At 43.1% G+C, this 17,542-nt stretch overlaps 1 long non-coding RNA gene across 3 annotated transcripts in view, besides 2 other annotated features; it reads right to left on the bottom strand.

Moving 5' to 3' along the window:
- Nucleotides 1-14,111, bottom strand: part of LOC105372666 (uncharacterized) — a 483,513-nt gene extending 469,402 nt beyond the window's left edge. For all 3 annotated transcript variants that reach the window (XR_007067652.1, XR_001754670.2, XR_001754671.2), the window contains exon 1: nt 14,014-14,111. This is a non-coding gene — a long non-coding RNA (uncharacterized LOC105372666). The remainder of the gene's footprint in view (nt 1-14,013) is intronic.
- Nucleotides 14,246-14,780: an enhancer, noted in NCBI's record as "H3K4me1 hESC enhancer chr20:50826513-50827047 (GRCh37/hg19 assembly coordinates)". NCBI's record gives its function as "activates a minimal SCP1, AML or CMV promoter by ChIP-STARR-seq in primed H9 embryonic stem cells {active_cell/tissue: H9 hESC(primed)}" and the evidence as "EXISTENCE:reporter gene assay evidence [ECO:0000049][PMID:30033119]".
- Nucleotides 14,965-15,595: an enhancer, noted in NCBI's record as "OCT4-NANOG hESC enhancer chr20:50825698-50826328 (GRCh37/hg19 assembly coordinates)". NCBI's record gives its function as "activates a minimal SCP1, AML or CMV promoter by ChIP-STARR-seq in primed H9 embryonic stem cells {active_cell/tissue: H9 hESC(primed)}" and the evidence as "EXISTENCE:reporter gene assay evidence [ECO:0000049][PMID:30033119]".

Here is a 17,542-nt window from a genome sequence, read left to right as displayed (position 1 = left end):
TTGATTATATATGTTATTAAGCCATGAGAGTCCAAATATTATCATTTCAACATGTAACCAATATTTAAAAATTGCTAGTGAGATAGTTTACTTTTTTGTACTAAGTCTTCAAAATCAAGTGCATACTTCATACTTACAACATACTGACTTTGGACTGGCTACATTTCAAGGGCTCAATGGCCACATGTGGCTAGGGGTTGCTATCTCGAACAGCACAGTTCTAGACAGCTGCTATGGACTGAGTGAGCCCCCCCTAAATTCATACGTTGAAGCCTTAACCCCCTGTGATGGTATTTGATGGGTGGTGAGATTGGGAGGAAACTGGGTCATGATGGTAAAACCCTCATGAATGGGATTAGTGCCCCTATAAGAAGAGGCATGATAAAGATGATCTCTCTCTCCACCATGTGAGAATAAAGGAAAACGGTCTTCACCAGTAACCAAATGTGCCAGCGCAATGAACTTGGGTATTCCAGCCTCCAGAACTGTGACAAATAAATTTCTGCTATTTAAGCCCCCCAGTCAGTGGGATTTTTTCTGTTTTTTTTTTTTTTTTTTACAGCAACCTGAACTAACTAAGACATCAGCTGAGTATGCCCTACACCGTCCACAGAGCTCCCAGGGGGATTCAACAAAAGTTACCCTCCATGGGACTTTGCCGGATACTCCATCCTTCCTCGGCTTCTTTCCCTGTCACAAATCCCCACTCCCCACTGGCTTACCTGGGATTATGTCCTCCTAAATCACTCTCACACACACAATCTTTGTCTTAGGCTCTGCTTCTAAGGAACTCAACCCAAAACATGGGTATAGAAAAGAAATGTGAAAGTAATAAGCAAGTAATTTGTAGGTAATAATTATTTCCATAATCATTTATCAATACCTGTGGATCCCAGATTGCCTTAAAAATTATCTGTGCCTAGTGCAGTGGTTCATGTCTGTAATCCCAGCATTTGGGGAGGCTGAGGTGGATGGATTGCTTGAGCCCAGGAGTTTGAGGCGAGCCCAGGAGTTTGAGGCCAGCTCGGACAACATGGTGATACCCTGTATCTGCAAAAAATACAAAAATTAGCCAGGCATAGTGACATGTGCCTGTAGTCCCAGCTGCTCAGGAGGCTAAGGTGGGAGGGTCAATTAAGCCTGGGAGATCAAGACTGTAGTGAGCTGTGACTGCACCACTGCACTCCAGCCTGGGCAACAGAGTGAGATCCTGTCTCCAAAAAAAAAAAAAAAAAAAAAAAAAATGACCTCAGAATTTAGTGGTTTCATTGGCATCGGACTCAAATCTTTCATCATGTGTATCTTTGAATTTCACCTATAATTAGAATTACTTACTCGGGCTCTGTCCCTAAACCAGCTATTGGCCTTGGAGAAGTTACTTTCCTTGGCCTTGTTTTTTTATAAATAAAGTGACAGCCTTGCTTCTCTATGCACTCCATGACCCACAGCATCAGCATCTGTTGGGAGCTTGTTAGAAATGCAGGACCCCACAGCTACTAAATCAGAATCTACACTTGAACATGATCCCCAAATGATTTATATATTCAGTACAGTTTGGAAAGCACTGGTCTCCAGCACTTTCTCAACATCTCTTTGAACTGGCCAGATTTTTAGATTGACTGAAAAAAAATCTACGGGAAGAATGTCGAAGAATTTGCAGACTTGCTTTTTAACTACTACATTTTAGTGTCCTTTAAACTCCGCTATTTACTAATTATATAACTACAACAAGTTACTCAACCTTTTTGTGCCTCAATTTTTCATCTGTAACATGGAAATAATAGAAGTAACTACATCATAGGTTTGAGAATTAAATAAGGGAAATATAGAAAGCCCTTAGAACAACCCCGAAAACATTATTTTGTTGAATATATGAATCCCAGTGCATGAAAACGGTTTCTGCAGTGAGAGCTCTTAAATATTCTATATTTATATATTAATATTAATATTTATTATTATGGATGTTTATATTTAATATTAATGTGGACATGTAATATAAAATCCATATCCCTAATGTCGCTACTTCAATCATAAGCAAAATCATTTATCACCTTGGTAGATTTGCTCACCCCAAAATCACCCAAGGAGACTATGTATGGTAACATCTGCTGGGTTTATTGAATCAGGGCATGTTTATTAATATCTATAAGTCAAAAGTCTACTTTTAAATCAGCATGCCAGAGAGGAAGTGGGCAAGGGGTGGGGGGTGTATGAGGATTCTCCCATGCTGTTCTCATGACAGTGAGTAAGTTCTCATGAGAGCTGATGGTTTTACAAGTGTTCGGCAAGTTCTCCCTTTGCTCACACTCTTTCCTGCTGCCTTGTGAATGAGGTACTTGCTTCTCCTTCAGCCATGATTGTAAGTTTCCTGAGGCCTCTGCAGCCATGTGGAACTGTGAGTCAATTAAACCTCTTTCCTTTACAAACCACCCAGTCTCGGGTAGTTTTTTTTTTTTTTTTTTTTTGAGATGGAGTCTTGCTCTGTCACCCAGGCTGGAGTACAGTGGTGGTTCACTGCAACCTCCACCTCCTGGGCTCAAGCAATTCTCCTGCCTCAGCGTCCCAAGTAGCTGGGATTACAGGCACATGCCACCACATCCAGCTAATTTTTTTGTATTTTTAATAGAGACGGGTTTTTGCCATGTTGGCCAGGCTGGTCTCGAACTTCTGACCTCAGGTGATCTGCCTACCTCGGCCTCCCAAAGTGCTGGGATTACAGGCATGAGCCACTGCACCCAGCCTTCAGATAGTATTTTTATAGCAGTGTGAGAACAGACTAATATAGTAAATTGGTACTGGGAGTGGGGCACTGCCATACAGATACCCAAAAATGTGGAAGTGACTTTGGAACTGGGTAACAGGCAGAGGGTACAACAGTTTGGAGGGCTCAGAAGAAGACAGAAAGATGTGGGAAAGTTTGGGATTTCCTAGAGGCTTGTTGAATGGTTTTGACCAAAATGCTGTTAGTGACATGGACAAGGAAGTCCAGGCTGAGGTGGTCTCAGATGGAGATGAGGAAGTTGTTAGGAACTGGAGTAAAGGTCACTCTTGCTATGCTTTAGCAAAGAGACTGGTGGCATTTTGCCCCTGCCCTAGAGATCTGTGGAACTTTGAACTTGAGAGAAATGATCTGAGATTGGAACTTATGTTTAAAATGGAAGCAGAGCATAAAAGTTTGGAAAATTTGCCTGATGACGCAATAGAAAAGAAAAACCCATTTTCTGGAGAGAAATTCAAGCTGGCTGCAGAAATTTGCAAAAATAACAAGGAGCCAAATGTTACTCGCCAATACAATGGAGAAAATGTCTTCAAGGCATGTCAGAGGTCTTCATGGCAGACCCTCCCATCACAGGCCTAATGTCTAGGAGGAAAAAATGGTTTCGTGGGCCGGGCCCAGGGCCTTGCTGCTTTGAGCAGTCTCAGGACTTGGTGCCCTGCATCCCAGCTATGGCTAAAAGGGCCAATGTACAGCTCAGGCCATTGCTTCAGAGGGTGCAAACCCCAAGCCTTGGTGGCCTCCACATGGTGTTGGGCCTGTGGGTGCACAGAAGTCAAGAATTAAGGTTTGGGAACCTCTTAGATTTCAGAGGATGTATGGAAATGCCTGGATGTCCAGGCAGAAGTTTGCTGCAGGGGTGGAGCCCTCATGGAGAACCTCTGCTAGGGCAGTGAGGAAGGGAAATGTGGGGTTGGAGCCCCCACACAGAGTCCCCACTGGGGTACTGCCTAGTGGAGCTGTGAGAAGAGGGTCACTGTCCTACAGACCCTAGAATAGCAGATCCACTGACAGCTTGCATCATGCACCTGGAAAAGTCACAGAAACTCAATGTCAGCCCATGAAAGCAGCTGGGAGGGAGACTGTACTCTGCAAAGCCACAGAGGCGGAGCTGCCCAAGACCATGGGAGCTTTAAGATTTAATGACTTCCCTGCCAGATTTCAGACTTGCATGTGGCCTGTAGCCCCTTTGTTTTGGCCAATTTCTCCCCTTTGGAATGGGAGCATTTATCCAATGCCTGTACTCCCATTGTTCCTGCAAGCAACTAAACTTCCTTTTGATTTTGAAGGCTCCAAGGTGAAAGGGACTTGCCTTGTCTCAGATGAGACTTTGGACTTGGGGGACTTTGGATGAGACTTTGGGGGACTGTTGGGAAGGCATGATTATGTTTTGAAATGTGAGGACATGAGATTTGGGAGGAGCCAGGGCAAAACGACATGAGTTGGCTGTGTCCCCACTCAAATCTCATCTTGAATTGTAATCCCCATCATCCCCATACGTCAAGGGAGGAAGGCGGTGGTAGGTGATTGGATCATTGGAGCAGTTTCCCCCATGCTGTTCTCGTGACAGTGAGTGAGTTTTCACAAGACCTGATGGTTTTATAAGTGTTTGGCAAGTTCTTGCTTAGCTCACACTCCTTCCTGCCACTTTATGAAGAAGGTACTTGCTTCTCCTTCTGCCGTGATTGTAAGTTTCCTGAGGCCTCCCTAGCCATGGGGAACTGTGAGTCAATTAAACCTCTTTCCTTTATAAATTACCCAGTCTCAGGTAGTAGTTTTATAACAGTGTGAAAATGGACTAATACAATACCCAAATGATAGAATCAGATCTAAGTAAGCCTCCCTGAGACATGGAGAAGAATGTAGTTTCCAAAGCAAAAACCTTTGGCTGCACACAAAAATCGTCTGGCCTAAACTGTCACCCTCATTCTCCCCAAATCATCTCCCACACGCTATCCCAGAACTGTTTCATTGTGCCTGGTCAGGATCACTTTGGGTGTGTATTTAAAAGGCAGAATCCTTGGCCCCACTCTGACCTTCTCAATCAAACTTCAAGAGGAGCTCTGAGGCAGGAGAATCACTTGACTGAGGCAGGAGAATTGTTTGAACCCGGGAGATAGAGGTTGCAGTGAGCCAAGATCGTGCCATTGCACTCCAGCCTGGGTGACAGAGCGAGACTCCGTGTCAAAAACCAACAAAAAGAAAAAAAAAAACGATAATCAAAAGTAAGAGGAGCTGGCGAGGAGCCCTGATGCAGGTGGCTTGTGGGCTGCTCTGGAGAGACTCAAAAGCACACTGTGCCTTTCTAGTTCACAGTCTGGGGAAAGGTCTTTCCTATCGCCACTGGGTGGGGCTATTTGTTTTTGCTGTGATGATTAAATGAGTCAATGTATACAAAACACTTATAACAGTGGTGCGGGCCAGGTGCAGTGGCTCATGCCTATAATCCCAGCACTTTGGGAGGCCAAGGCGGGCAGATCACCTGAAGTCAGGAGTTAAAGACCAGCATGGCCAACATGGCAATACCTCGTCTCTACTAAAAATACAAAAATTAGCTGGGCATGGTGGCAGGCACCTGTAATCCCAGCTACTTGGGAGGCTGAGGCAAGAGAATCACTCGAAGCCGGGAGGCAGAGGTTGCAGTGAGCTGAGACTGTGCCACTGCACTCCAGCCTGGGTGACAGACTGAGACTCCACCTCAAAAAAATAAAAAAATAAAAACAGTGGTGCAATTACTTCACTGTTGCATATCATCATCATCATCGTCATCGCTGTTGTCATCATCACTGTTAATCTCCATCATCACTGTCATCCAATATAGATAACATTCTCATTCTATTCCCATTAAAAGAGTATGCACATACACAGAGTTGTAGAAACTAGTAGGGTTTCCCGTATGTCCTGGTTTGCCCAGGACTCAAGAGGTTTCCTGGACATGGAACTTTTCATTTTAAAACCAGATCAACTGGGCCGCCCTCCCAAGTTTTGTATATTTAATTTTTGGCCTCAGAGCTAAGGATGCACTCCTGCATCAAGTCTGACATTGTAGAGAAGGATAGAGTTGCCATTATGAGAGAGGGCTGGAGGCACAGCCCCTGGGCTTGAATTTTCATTCAAAGTTATTCAGACTCTCTAAAGTGCATATAACAATACCTAAAACTCACTGTGTCTTCACCTTGAGCCAGGCTCTCAGATAAACACTTCCATTATGTTATCTTTTTAATTGCCACTTTAAACTGGGAAGAGAGGTAGCATCATTTTCCCCATTTGACAGTGGTTTGGAGAAGTTGGGCAACTTGCCTAAAGTTCCCCAGCAAGTCAGTGACAAGTCATGAAGAAGAGGGATTGAACACACTCTGAACTTTGAAGTCCAACTTGCCAGTTCCATATTCAAAGAAATTATTTCAGAGTCTGTCACTTAATAAAACCTCAGGATAAAACTCTAATAATTATCAGCTTCCATTTGTGTAAACATTTAACACAGCTAGGTGAAACAATTCTGTGGGTTGTTTTAGCACAGTCAACTTTAAAGTATACTTATAACCCAGAAATTTGTCTTTAATATTCATGAAGAGCAAAAATAACCACATTTAAATTCACAGTCGTTTTTTAATGATATCAGCAAGATGGCAGATTAGGAAGCCCTAAACTTTATTCCCTACAAGGTACTGACTCAACAACAATGCACAGTCAACAATACCTTTATGAGAAATCTAGAAACCAATCCAGATGTCACAGTACCCCAGAGAAGCTCAAAGCCAAGAATGCCACACTGAAACAAGTAAGAACAGCCACTTCATGTCACCTGTGGTTACCCTTTCCCCAAGCTGGCACAGCTCCATACAACTGGGAGGAAAAGCCCAATTCTGACTTCTCCCTTGAGAGGAAAAAAAGAGTGGAACATAATCCAACATCCTGGCTTTTGGAGGGGATGCCACAGGGACTGGTTTCTGTCTCACCTGATTCAGAGTACTGATGGGGAATCAGCATACTTGGATTCTCTGAGTGCCACTGAAAACAAAGGAGGGCTCAATGGCTTTTTGTAGCAATAGAGAACCTGCAGTATCACAGGCAGACACCAGACTGAGCAAGACAAAGTATTGAAACAGAAACCCACAGACCTCTCTAACTGGTAAACTGCATTCACATGCCTAGAAAAGACACATCCCAGAAAAGTTTGTGAGGCAGCTGGGTTGATCGGTCAAGGTCTTTCACTACATGTGGCCAATTCATAAAGAGTGGGAGTGGTGGCTTTTTTTCAAGTGCACAAATCACAAAGAAAAATAACAAGGCACATGAAGAAACAAGGTAATGTGGTCTAATCATTGAAACAAAAGAAATATCCAGAAACCAACTCTAAAAAAAAAAAAAGCATTGATCTGTGAATGACTTGATAATTAATTCAAAATAATTGTCTTAAAAAGACTCAGTGCACAACACGAGAACTAGACAACTAAATGAAATCAAGAAAATGACACCTCAACAACATAAGAATATCCACAAGGACAGAAAAAGCATTTTTAAAAAGAACCAAACAATTCTGGAGCAGCATAATATAATAACTGAATCTGAAAATTCACTAGAGGGGTCAACGGCAGATTTGACCAAGCAGGAGAAAGAACCAGCAAACTCAAGAAGCTCATTTTAAATTATCAAGTCAGAAGAACAAAACAAAAAAGAATGAAGAAAAGTGAAGAAAGCCTAAGTAACTTATGAGACACCATTAGGTGGACCAATATTGGTATTGCAGGAGTCTCAGAAGGAGAATAGAAACAGAAAGGGGCATTCACAGAGCTTATCTGAAAAAATAATGGCTAAAACCTTCCAAATCTGAGGAAGGAAATGGGTATCCAAATTCCAGAAGCTCAGAAGATTCCAACTAGGATGAACCCAAAAGGCCTACTCTGAGATGTATCATGATGAAGACGTCAAAAGTTAGAGATAAGAAGAGACCCTCGAAAGAAGCAAGAGAAAAATAATTAGTCATGTACAAAGGAGCTTCTATAAGATTATCAATGGATTTCTCAGCAGAAACACTGTAGGCCAAGACAGAGTAGGGTAGTATTTCCAAAGTGCTGAAAGGAAAAAAACTGTCAATCAAGAATACTATATCCAGGGCCAGGAGCGGTGGTTCATGCCTGTAATCCCAGCACTTTGGGAGGCTGAGTTGGGCAGATCACTTGAGGTCAGGAGTTTGAGATCAGCCTGATGGTGAAACCCCATCTCTACCAAAAATACAAAAATTAGCCAGGTGTGGTGGCACACACCTGTAATCCCAGCTACTCAGGAAGCTGAGGTAGGAGAATCACTTGATCATGCAAGGCGGAGGCTGCCGTGAGCCAAGATCGTGCCAATGCACTCTAGCCTGAGCAAGAAAGCCAGACTCCATCTCAAAAAAAAAGAATACTGTATCCAGGTAAACTGTTATTCAAAGGTGAGGGAGAAATTAAGATATTCCCAGATAAATAAAAGCTGACAGAGTTCATCACCAGTAACCTACCTTGTAAGAATTGCTAAAGGGAGTTTTTCAAGCTGAAATGGAAGAATGGCTAGACAGCAACACAAAAGCACATGAAAATATAAAACTCACTGGTAAAGGTAAATATATAGACAATTACAGAATCATGTAATCCTGTAATGGTGGTATGTGAGTCAGTTTTAATTGTGGTATAGAATTTAGAAGATAAAACCATTAAAAAACTATAACTATAAAACTATGCTAATGGATACAAATTATAAAAAGATTTATTTGTGAAATTGAGAATATAAACTGAGGGGGACATAAAGTAGAGTTTGTATATGCAATTAAAGTTAAGGCTGGGAGCAGTGGCTCATGCCTGTAATCCCAGCACTTTGGGAGGCCAAGGTGGGTGGATCACTTGAGGTCAGGAGTTCAAGACCAGCCTGACCAACATGGTGAAACCCTGTCTTCACTAAAAATACAAAAATTAGCCAGCTGTGGTTGTGGGCGCCCATAGTCCCAGCTACTTGGGAGGCCGAGGCAGGAGAATGGCTTGAACCCAGGAGGCAGAGGTTGCAGCCAGCTGAGATTGCACCACTGCACTCCAGCCTGGGTGACAGAGCAAGATTCCATCTCGGAAAAAAAAAAAAAAAAAAAAAAAAAACACTATCACATGGGGGAAAAAAATTTAGTGGATCGACACAACACAAATTTATGATCTTACAGCCCTGGAGGTCAGAGGTCCAAAATCAGTCTCACTGGGCTGGTGTTAGCAGGGCTGGTTCATTCTAGAGGTGTTAGAACCAGTTCAGAGGAGAATCCAGGAACAGACACCTCCACAGATCAGGAATAGTGAAACGAATGTGCAAATAAGTATGTGTGTGTGTGTGTGTGTATTTCTGTTACTGTAACAAATTATCACAAATTTAATAGCTTAAAGCACTAAGTAGCTCGTTACCTTACAGTTCCAGAGGTCAGAAGTCCTAAAACCAAGGTGTTCACTGGGTGGCATTCCTTCTGGAGGCTCTGGGGGGAATCGTTCTGGAGGCTCTGGGGGAATCGGTTTCATTGGCTTTTCCAGGTTCTAGGGGCTGCCTGCACTCCTTGGTTCATGGCCCCCTTCCTCAGCAGTGCGGCATCCTCAAGTTTCTCTCTCCCCAGCCCCTCTGCTTCTGCCTTGTCCTCTTATCTCCTTCTTCAATTAGGACACTCCTGCCTCCCTTTTTTACTTATAAGGGCCTTTGTGATTACATTGGACCCATCTAGATGGTCCAGGACACTCTCCCCATTTCAAGAACCTCCTTTTTATCACATCTGCAAAGTTCCTTTTGCCCTGTAAGGTAACATATTCACAGGTTCCCAGAATTAGGAGGTGGACCTCTTGGCCAGAGGGGATTATTCCAACGAAGGGAGATGGGAAATAGGAAACCAATTCACCTCAACCACAGTGCCAGAGAGGAAGGTGTGTATATATCTCCACTAACTTATTTCCTTCCTTCCCTGACCTGCGGATCTCACCTCCTCCATAGAGCTCAGCTATGGGGCGGCGGGGGGAGGGGTTCAATTATACACTTTTCCAAGTTTAAAGCCTTTTAAGGCCAGGCGCAGTGGCTTATACCTGTAATCCCAACACTTTGGGGGGCTGAGGCGGATCACCTGAGGTCAGGAGTTCAAGACCAGCCTAGCCAACATGGTGAAACCCCGTCTCTACGAAAAATACAAAAGCTAACCGGGCATGGTGGTGCATGCCTGTAATCCCAGCTACTCAGGAGGCTGAGGCAGGGGAATCATTTGAACCCTGGAGGTGGAGGTTGCAGTGAGCTAAGATCATGCCACTGCACTCCAGCCTGGGCAACAGAGTGAGACTCAGCCTCATTAAAAAAAAAAAAGTCTTTTAAAATTGTAGTATCTTTAAATGTTTTTTATTTTATTTTTTAATTTAGAATACAGATAACATGATCTTTAGGTGTAAAGTTCATGCGGAGACAATCTGCCTAGAACAAAGCCCACAGAAAGGAAAGCAGAGCTGGGAAAAAGCTAGACGCTGAATGCATTGATGATCTGTTCCTTTTTACCCAATACCACTAAACATCAGAAACAGTCTTTTGTTAAGGTATAAACTCACTAGGTTAAAGGAAATGGGAGAAGCAGCAAAAGCAATGAAATGGTGAAATCTGGCATGGCAAGAAATGTATGTTTCAAAGGAAAACTACCCACTGACAGTAAGACACCCTCCACACAATCCCATTCTGATTTTATGGGAGCTTTTACAACTCTGTAAGCTGTAGATCTACTAGCAATGCAAAATAATTCTTGTCTGTAGACTTGCAAATGGATTCTGTCCAGTGAAAGGGATAGAATTCTCCGCCTATCTCCTGCTCCCACACCCATTCGTGGAAAAATCAGTTTGCCTTCTATGGTAGATAGAATAATGCTCCCACCCGCTGCACATCATATCCACAGAAACCGTGAGTATGTTACCTAACATGGCAAAAAGGACTTTGCAAATGTGAAGAAGTTAATGATCTTGAGATGGAGAAATCATCCTGGGTTATCTGGGTAGGTCCACTGTAGTCAGAGGGGTCTCTAGAAGGGAGAAGCTGGTGTGTCAGAGTCAGAGTTGATGTGACAATGGAAACAGTGGTCAGAGAGATTTGCAGACGCGATGCTGTTGGCTTTGAAGATGGAAGGGGCCACAAGCCAGGGAATGCAGGCGGCCTCCAGAAGCTGGAAAAGGCAAGGAAATGGATTCTTCTCTAGAGCCTCCAGAAGGAAGGCAGTCTTTGGTTTTAGGATTTTTTTTACCACCAGAACTGTAAGCTAATAAGCCATAGGAAAGGAAAATAAATCTCGATCTTAGCCAAAAGGCTGAGAAGCAATGGAAAATAAATCTTGGGACTCCAAAATCACTAAGACAAGGGAAAAGTCAAGCTGGGAATTATGTCAGGCAAACCTGCCTCCCATTTTATTCCTAAATAGGATAGTTACAAAGATAAAAAGCTATATACCTCCCTCACAATTTGCCCACAAGGAAATTCCTTGTGGACAAAGGACAGACAGAACTCAGTCATCCCTCTCAGGCTCACCAGAGACAAATGCATATATGATTGCTTCTTCTGCCTTATGTTTGTGTAAAAATGCAGATTTAATGAGCCAGACTAAATTGTGTATTTAGTGGAAGGCTGATCAAGGACTCAAAAGAATGCAACCTTTTGTCTCTTTTCTACTTATGACCTGGAAGCCCCCACCTCTAGCTGACCCACCTTACCAGACAGAACCAATGTAATCTTTCACATATTGATTGATGTTTCACATCTCGCTAAAATGTACAAAAGCAAGCTGTACCCCAACCCCCTTGGGTGCATGACGTCAGGACCTCCTGAAGCTGTGTCACAGGTGTGTCCTTAACCTTCAAAAAATAAACTTTCTAATTTGACTGAGACTTGTCTCAGATATTTGGGGTTCACAGCCACTTAGTATTTTAAGCCACTAAATTTGAAGCAATTTGTAACAGCAGCAGTAGGAAACTGATACTCCTCTGTTTGCAAATTCATTTCAAATTTCTGATCAGTGAATTTCAAATTTCTGATCTGCTCTTTGCGTTCTCCTTTGAGCTGGTTCTAACACCTCACCAGCTTCCTCATTCATGAGTTCAATAAAATCTTTCATGTGTGTTCATTTTTTTTCCTGAGAGTTACAATTTTACCTTTTTTTAAAAAACTAGCTTTTAACACTGGAAAGTAGATGAACAAGTGATAACTGGATTAGCAGACTCAGGAAAACTGAATCCCAAGCTGTCAGTGGGAAAAAGGCAAAAGAAAAACAAAAAAAAAAAAAGAAAAAGAGAAAGAACCCAAGTGTCCTGCAGGGCCTTGAAACATTCAGGAATGAGTAGCACCAGATATCTCTGCAGGTTGGAGGCATAAGTGGGGCAAAAAATAGAAAGAGTGTTTGAAAATCAAAGAAAGAGTTAGATCCCAGGTTTCCTCTCCCATGCCACGGGCATCTGACAGCCTCTGTCCTGTTCAGATGACTGCACTTTATTCTTTTGAGAGGATAAAAGAGAGAGTCTCTGGACAGGGAGCTTCAGGTACAGGGACTAAGCAGGGGGTACGGGGGGAAGCTTATATACGGATTGCTGAGACCTCTGCAACCTTCCTTCCCTAGCATGTCCCAAAAGCACTGGCAGGAGGGATTGTATCCTCTAGGCAGGAGAGTGATCCGGTCTGCTCTGAGAAATGCACCCAGTGCAGAAAAAGGAAAACGAAATACACTGATATTTTGGAGCAGGTAGGACACACCCCAGCCAGGTCACCCTGCACTGATACTTAAGCTTGACAAGCCACCCACCCCTACCCTGCGTTCTCAGAATTATCAATCAGCTCTTCAGCACCTCCTTCTAAAATAAGATCAGACTCCTAGCACTCTGGGAGGCCGAGGTGGGCAGACCACCTGAGGTCAGGAGTTCGAGACCAGCCTGGCCAACACAGTGAAACCCGTCTCTACTAAAAATGCAAACATTAGTCAGGCATGGTGGGTGCCTGTAATTCCATCTACTCGGGAGGCTGAGGCAGGAACCTCCCTGAAACCCGGGAGGCAGACGTTGCAGTGAGCTGAGATGGCACCACTGCACTCCAGCCTGGGCAACAGTGAGACTACATCTCAAAAAATAATAACTAAATAAATAAGATCAGACAGCCAAGGAGCACAAGACCTTCGAGCAAACCTGAGAGCCAAAGGCCAAAACAACCAAACAGAAAAAAGACAGGCCACATGGGTGAAACCAAAACTGGGAGAAGGAAAAAGGTTCCTCCCTCAAAACATTAACATCCTCAGAGAGGTAAGAGAAAATACCACACTCACGAAATAAGAATAAGATGCCAATTTGTTTTCATTCAAATGGTAGAAAAGGTTCTGAGAAATTAAAAATATGACAGCAGAAATGAAAAATTTAATAGAAAGCTTGAAAAATAAAGTTAAGGAAATATTCCAGAAAGTTGAGCAGAAAGACCAAGACATGCAAAACGGGGAGAAAAGATAAATTTAAAAATGACAGGACTAGTGCAAGAGTTCCTATTCCAAACACCAGGAGTTCCAGACAGAGAACAAAAAAACCAGAAGGGCAGAAAAAATGTTAATAAATTGTCCCAGAACCCGCAGAGAACAGGATTTATTAGATGGTAGGCGTGAGTATCACATGCAATATGTGGAAATAGATCCAACCAATAAATACTATCATCAAGTTTTAGATTACTAAGGAGCAAGGAAAGTAGCTATAAGCTGGTGAAAATAATGAAGTTTCCATTGAGAGATGTAACAATCAGAATAGCATCAGAGTTATATCACCAGCAACATGAGAAACTCAAGGACAACAGGGTAATACCTTCGAATTTCTTTTTTTTTTTTTTTTTTTTTTTTTGAGACCAAGTTTCACTCAGTTGTCCAGGCTGGAGTGCAACGGTGTAATCTCGGCTCACTGCCACCTCCTCCTCCCAGGCTCAAGCGATCCACTCACCTCAGCCTCCTGAGTAGCTGGGATTAAAGGTGCGCCCCACCACACCGGCTAATCTTTTAATTTTTTTGTAGAAACGGGTTTCACTATGTTGCCCAGGCTGGTCTTGAATTCCTGGGCACAAGAGATCCTCCCACCTCGGCCTCCCAAACTGCTGGGATTACAGGTACAAGCCACCGTGCCCGGCCCTACCTTCAAATTTCTAAGGGTCAATTACAGTCAGTTCTCATTACTTGTGAGTTCAATATATGCAAATTTGCTTACCTGAAAGATTCTCCCCCCGGCCTGAAAGCTTAAGGGAATGAATAACTCCTGCCTCCTCAGACCCAGTCGCCTGGCGCAAGACGACTTGCGCCAGCACTGTGCGTCATCAAGACAGCAGAAGCGGAAGAGAGCTGGCCGGAAGACACGTACCCGCCGAAGACCAAGAGAGAGGCCGTCTGGGTAAGCGTAGCAGTTACGTCAGACACGTCCTGTTAACAGGAGACTATAAAACCCCTGCCCCGTCCCCGTTTCGGGCTGACGCCATTTTAGGCCTCAGCCCGCCGGCGCTCGGGCGCTTATTAAAACAGCGTGTTGCTCCACACCGCCTTGTGTTGTCTGTTGGCGTGCGCTCGGGGTTCGAACCAATACAAGTGCCTTGCATTACCCACTAAAACTAGTTTGCAATCTCAAAATCAATGCTCCCGGTGCTTTCATGGACATGCACAGAGCAAGAAAAAATTTGACTTGCCCAATGCACACAGTCCCAGCTGAGGTTGAAGGAGGCAGCACTCTGCATTCTTGGACCACATCCCGTACTGCAAGCAAGGGTCCTCTTTACAGTCTATTTAATGCTGTGCTGCATCTTCTTTTGCATTTTCGTGCCTTTTGTTGGTGAGTTCACTGTTTGAAACACCCCCCAAGCTTAGAAAGGAAGTGTGGTCTAGTGTTCCTAAGTGCAAGAAGGCTGCAATGTGCCTCAGAGAATATCAGTGGGTTAGATGAGCTTCCTTCAGGCATGCATTACAGTGCTGTTGGCTGTGAGTTTAATGATAATGGATCACACTATACATTAAATAAGGTGTCTTTAGAAACACACATAAAATAAAGTTATGTATTGATTGGCTGATGCAGATGTTGTACCTGGGGTTCACAAGAACCTAACCTTATACTTCCCCTAGGAGCAATGGTTCAGTATTCACAAATTCAGTGTTCGTGATGACTTTATAGAATGTAAGAATCAACTGTACCTTTATAATGCATAATTCTTTGTTTTATTTTTAAACTTATACGCAATGACTTTTCAGTGTACAGTTCTACAATTTTTAACATATATAGATTTGTTTAACTGTTATAGGAGTTATTAAGAAATTATTTTAGGCAGATAGAGAGGAAAAGGGGTCTTTGGGAAGTTTTCGTTTCTTTTAAAGCAGCTCCAAAAACGTTTCTGATAGCAGGAAAGCCCCATCTCTTAGAGCCAGGTTGGCAACCTTTGATATGCAAATGCAGGCCATTAGAAACCGGGTCCGCCCAAACATGGCAATTCCCACAGTTATCCTCTTGCCCTTGCCCTACATGTGCCTGGCAACTTGGCCACCCCCACATATCCCAACATGTATAGAACATCATGACGACCTTCATTTGCATATTAAAAGACTAGGGTGGGAGGGCCAGTTTTTTCGTGGGCCACATAATGACATGCCTGGTCAAACCAATCCCCTGAGCCCTATGCAAATCAGACTCCATCTCCTCCAGCCTCCTCCTATAACTGGCTGGTATCTGCCACACTTGGGATCTCCTCTCTTGGCTTTGGAGCCCCCCTCCCTCTGTCTCTGTACAGGGGAGCTTCCTCCTTCTTTCTTCTCCCTTTTTTCTTGCCTGTTAAACTCTCCGTTCCTTAAAACCACTTCACGTGTGTCTGTGTCGTTTTATCCAATTCGCGTGAGACAAGAGCCCTGGTGTTCCTGCACTCATCAGAGCCGTATCATAACCACCACCAAGATCAGAATACAGAACATTTCCATCACCCCAAAAAACTCCTGTGGTCCATTTGTAGTGAGACCCTCCCTTCACCCTTAAACCCTGACAACTACTGATCTCTTCTCCATCACCATTGTTTTGTCTTTTAGAGAACCTCATATAAATGGAATCACACAGTATGTAACCTTTTGAAACTGGCTCTTCTTATCAATGTAATGTCTTCGAGATTCATCCAAGTTTTTACATGTATCAATAGTTTGCTTCTTTTCACCACTGAGTAATATTCTAACTAGCAAAGAATTTTAAAAGCAAATTATCAATAAAGTATGAAAATATACGTGTTAAATCTTAAAATGTACCTCACTTGTACATTGTCACAGAAGTCTAATACACCAAAAAAAAGGTAAAAAACTGAAAAAGTGAACACATAAAGTCTATAAAACCAGAGGATCTCTCATTAGGAAGAAATGTAAGAAATTCCAGGATAACCATGAAGAAAATATCCTAAGACAACCACTGCTCAGCTGCCCCAATCCAGATTGAAGAATCCTCTTCAGAAAGACCAAATTGATAGAGATTGTAATGTGTTTGAGTACATTGAGAGGAAATTTACACAACCAGTGGTGAATAATTCAGATGATTTAGTGCATAGAAAAGTAACCAAACAAACAGAAAATAATTTTTTTTAACTCTAATGAAAACAAAAAGTTGTGCAGAAAAGGAAAAGTAATCAGAATGTACTATGGCTCAGCTGTGACTACTATTTACATAATGTAAACATTGAATATTTGTCTAAACATAATTACACCATAATTCCTTTGAGGCCTGGGAAATAGGGATGAGAAGATCTTTTTCATAACAAGCCTGGTAGAGTATTTAACTCTTTAAACTATGTGCCTTTATAATGTAGATAAAAGTTGAAACTAGGCTGGGCGCAGTGGCTCACGCCTGTAATCCCAGCACTTTGGGAGGCCGAGGTGGGTGGATCACTCGAGGTCAGGAGTTCGAGACCAGCCTGGCCAACATGGTGAAACCCCGTCCCTATTAAAAATACAAAAATTAGCCAGCTGCGGCGGTGGGCGCTTGTAATCCCAGCTACTCGGGAGGCTAAGACAGGAAAATGGCTTGAACCCAGGAGACAGAGGTTGCAGTGAACCAAGATCGCAACACTGGACTCCAGCCTGGGTGACAGAGCAAGACTATCTCAAAAAGAAAAAAGTTTTAATTTCACATGATGAAGCAAAAACAATTTTTTTTTTTCTAAATCATGGCTAAGAAAGAGAGAGAGCCATCCCTGATGATGTATTCCCAGAAGCCATCTCTGAAGCTAAAGTCATGTTCCCTCCTTTGTTTAAAGCCAGTTCAAATTTGGGTTTTTTCCATTAGCAACCAGATGCATCCTGACAAATACAATAGGTATGGACCTTCCATGCCAAAAAGCAGTACCAGTCTTCAATTAGGTCCTCCACTGAACAGTGCTGACAGTGCTTGATGCATGCAATGTGGTCAAAAGGTGTTCCACCAGCCAGACATCTGCCTTAGTGGCCAGTTGCAAGGCTTGCTGCTGTGTACAGTGCCTAAGGGGCAATGGAACTGCTGGGGGGATTTGTGTTCCAAATGCCAAGGAACATGAGGTCCAAGCTAACACGGCATTGGTTGGAGGTCTGGCCAGAACTCCCGCTGAGTTCATTACCAGGTAGTTGTTCTGATTTATGTCTTTATATAACCTAGTTACTTCTGTACTTTCTCATCTGTGCCCTTTTAGTGAATCCAAGCTAGCAGCAGGGAATTGATCTAACCAGGCTTGTGTGTTCTGCCAGTGGGCACTTTA

The sequence above is a fragment of the Homo sapiens genome, chromosome 20 (assembly GCF_000001405.40).
Source record: "Homo sapiens chromosome 20, GRCh38.p14 Primary Assembly".
NCBI classification, from domain to species: Eukaryota; Metazoa; Chordata; class Mammalia; order Primates; family Hominidae; genus Homo; species Homo sapiens.
The sequence above is the reverse complement of the archived record's forward strand: the minus strand, read 5'-3'. Positions and strand labels throughout refer to the sequence as shown.